A 4,140-nucleotide genomic window follows, 5' to 3' on the forward strand; every position below is an offset into this window, starting at 1 on the left:
TATGTGTCTTGGAGTTGCTCTTCTAGGGGGGTATCTTTGTGGTGTTCTCTGTATTTCCTGAATTTGAATGTTGGCCTGCCTTACTAGATTGTCGGGGGGGAAGTTCTCCTGGATAATATCCCGCAGAGTGTTTTCCAACTTGGTTCCATTCTCCCCGTCACTTTCAGGTACAGCAATTAGACGTAGATTTGGTCTTTTCACATAGTCCCATATTTCTTGGAGGCTTTGTTCATTTCTTTTTATTCTTTTTTCTCTAAACTTCTCTTCACACTTCATTTCATTCATTTGATCTTCCATCGCTGATACCCTTTCTTCCCGTTGATCGCATTGGTTACTGAGGCTTGTGCATTTGTCACATAGTTCTCATGCCGTGGTTTTCAGCAACATCAGGTCCTTTAAGGACTTCTCTGCATTGGTTATTCCAGTTATCCATTTGTCTAATTTTTTTTCAAAGCTTTTAACTTCTTTGCCATTGGTTCAAACTTCCTCCTTTAGCTTGGAGTAGTTCGATCTTCTGAAGCCTTCCTCTCTCAACTCCTCAGAGTCATTCTCCGTCCAGCTTTGTTCCGTTGCTGGTGAGGAGCTGCGTTCCTTTGGAGAAGGAGAGGCGCTCTGATTTTTAGAGTTTCCAGTTTTTCTGCTCTGTTTTTCCCCCATCTTTGTGGTTTTATCTACCTTTGGTCTTTGATGATGGTGATGTACAGATGGGTTTTTAGTGTGGATGTCCTTTCTGTTTGTTAGTTTTCCTTTTAACAGACAGGACCCTCAGCTGCAGGTCTGTTGGAGTTTGCTGGAGGTCCACTCCAGACCCTGTTTTCCTGGGTATCAGCAGCAGTGGCTGCAGAACAGAGGATATTGGTGGACCGCAAATGCTGCTGCCTGATTGTTCCTCTGGAAGTTTTGTCTCAGAGGAGTACCCGGCCATGTGAGGTGTCAGTCCGCCCCTACTGGGAGGCACCTCCCAGTTAGGCTACTCAGGAGTCAGGGACCCACCTGTGGAGGCAGTCTGCCTGTTCTCAGATCTCAAGCTGCATGCTGGGAGCACCACTACTCTCTTCAAAGCTGTCAGACAGGGACATTTAAGTCTGCAGAGGTTATTGCTGTCTTTTGTTTGTCTGTGCCCTGCCCCCAGAGGTGGAGCCTACAGAGGTGGAGCCTAGAGAGGCAGGCAGGCCTCCTTGAGCTGTGTTGGGCTCCACCCAGTTTGAACTTCCTGGCCGCTTTGTTTACCTACTCAAGCCTGAGCAATGGCGGGTGCCCCTCCCCCAGCCTCCCTGCCACCTTGCAGTTTGATCTCGGACTGCTGTGCTAGCAATGAGCAAGTCTCCGTGGCATAGGACCCTCCGAGCCAGGTGCGGTATATAATCTCGTGGTGTGCTGTTTGTTAACCCCATTGGAAAAGCTCAGTATTAGGGTGGGAGTGACCCGATTTTCCAGGTGCTGTCTGTCACCCCTTTCTTTGGCTAGGAAAGGGAATTCCCTGACCCCTTGCGCTTCCCGGGTGAGGCGATGCCTTGCCCTGCTTCGGCTCACACACAGTGTGCTGCATCCATTGTCCTGCACCCACTATCCGGCACTCCCTAGTTAGATGAACCCGGTACCTCAGTTGGAAATGCAGAAATCACCTGTCTTCTGCATCTCTCACGCTGGGAGTTGTAGACTGGATCCATTCCTATTCAGCCATCTTGGTTCGCATCTATCAAGTTTACTTTTTTTAATCAATTGGTTGACATTTATTGCACCAGTCTTTGCACATGAACATAAATATGCCTCAATCCAACCTGAGAAGTGCACAATTATTGTAACATAGCCACAATAATCATACATAATTATTGCATTTAATTAATTTAAGATGATTTTATTGCTATTTTCTCAGAATATGGCCTTGAAAAACACAGCAGCTTCCACTGTATTGAGCATAGTTTTGAGCAAATTAAATATCTGGAGAATGCAAAACATTATATTTATGTCTAATATATCTTCTTGTTAAGAGCTAGGAGGAGGATCTTTGGAGTTTCCCAGTAGCCATCTGAGAAACCCAGAGATATTGTATTCATAAATAACATCTCAGTAGTTTTACTATTTTGAATTTGAGGGTTAAATTTGGGGAATATGGTATCAAAAAGAGTGTCACAGGTGGGGGCTGCAGATGTGAAGGGCCTGCTATCAATCAGGTGACCCTGGAGGGACTACCTGCTCCCTGTGTCAGTCCAGGATCCCAGCTGTAGTGGGTTCCTCTCTGCAACAGCACATGTTTCTAAAGGGCAAGAATCTGGGCTCCCGGTAACTGACATCTGTCTCCTCCATCCTAGATTGTCATGGTAGACCTGAACCACCCTCCCACTGAATTTGGGCCCTTGTGGCTCATAGCCACAAGGGAAATTGGAAGCTCACATGTGAAAGGCAGAATTATGTTATTGCACCTTCTTCCAAAGTCTTGAGTTTGTTTGTAGCCCAGGTGCCCCTGTTTTCAACAGGGGTATTAGCAGTACCAGGCAGCCACTCCCTAGGGTTTGTGTTTCTGAGCTTTCCCATCATCAGTTAATTGGAAATTTCAGGAACTGTCCCTGCCTTACAATGCCTGCTCTGATCTACAGGTCTCTTGGAGACAGACAGCAGGTGATGGGGCATGCCAAAGAGATAAAAATGTCTTCTGATAATCAGGGGTCAGCAGATGAGTGCGAAAGCTAATTATCCCCACTACTCAGGGAATTTAGAGGCTTTCCCTTTTGTCTTTGTAGGAATAGCAGACTTTCTGACTCTAATGTCCAAAGTTCTTTACAAGTTCAAGTACAGAGGAGATCAGAAAATGTCTTATGCACATGAGAGTTGTTATCCAAAGATTTGTCATAGGAGCAGTGACTCTAGGTGTTCTCTATTCTATTTAGAAGGATTACATTAGATTTTGATTCCTCAACGTGGCCAAGAAATAGAGCTACTTGCTGGGAGCAAGAAAGACAAGATGACTTCTGGTAACTCTCTATTATGAAAAATGAATTTTCATTATGTAACAAATTACACTGCAGAAGTGTTACAAAGAATTCTCATAGACAAGGTATATTAAATCTCAAATCAATAATCATACATAGTCAATTAAAAATATCTTTGTTGATATATTTCAGAACCTGGGAAATAATTTTCTGACTTTCAAATTTTTTAGTTTCTATTCAATGGCAGAAAATCTATATTGTGCCAAACCAGTCTAAAAATCAGTAGTTAATTATATGCTGGACACAGAAAAATGTTCTGTAACCTGTTAAATGCAACATTCCATTCATTGCTTAATTCTCCCCAAATAGCATGAGGTAATTAAGGCTTTTGTAAACTTTTTTCTTTTTTTAGAACAGCCTACAGTGACAGACGAGAATGGTTATATTGTTAATTAAAGCTGGTTCATCACTCATGTGGTAAACCTGACTCACAGGGAAACTTAACTATTTTTTCACAAAAATAAATGTTTATCATTTAAATATGTATTTATTCATTTTAAGACTTCTTGAAAGGATTTCTAGGAGTACAAAGTAAACTACTATAAATCTTTTTTCTCCGTGATGGCAATATTGTTGTGGGTGAGAAACAATTTAGTACGGGAGAGCTATATCTAATCCAGTAGGACACTGTGGAGAATACAAGTGTCAAATTTTTGCTAAAAAACTAATATATGGCTGGGAGTGGTGGCTCACACCTGTAATCCCAACACTTTGGGAGGCCGAGGCAGGTGGATCACCTGAGGTCAGGAGTTCGAGACCAGCCTGGCCAACATGGTGAAATCCCATTTCTACTAAAAATACAAAAATTAGCCAGGCATGGTGGCAGATACCTGTAATCCCAGCTACTCAGGAGGCTGAGGCAGGAGAATCACTGGAACCCAGGAGGCAGAGGTTGCAGTGAGCCAAGGTGGCACCATTGCACTCCAGCCTGAGGGACAAGAGTGAGACTTCATCTCAAAAAAAAAAAAAAAGACTAATATATGGAGATTGATTTATCATTTTATCAAAAGGTAACCCAAATACTAATATGACTTTTTTTAGACCATTCATTTAATAAATTGCGCTAAAAGACTCAAAAGTTCTTTTATGTTTTATGCCCAAACTAATTAATATTGAGTAAAGTTAGTCCAAAAAATTATAAACATTTTAT

Source organism: Homo sapiens, chromosome 5 (genome assembly GCF_000001405.40).
Source record: "Homo sapiens chromosome 5, GRCh38.p14 Primary Assembly".
NCBI lineage: Eukaryota > Metazoa > Chordata > Mammalia > Primates > Hominidae > Homo > Homo sapiens.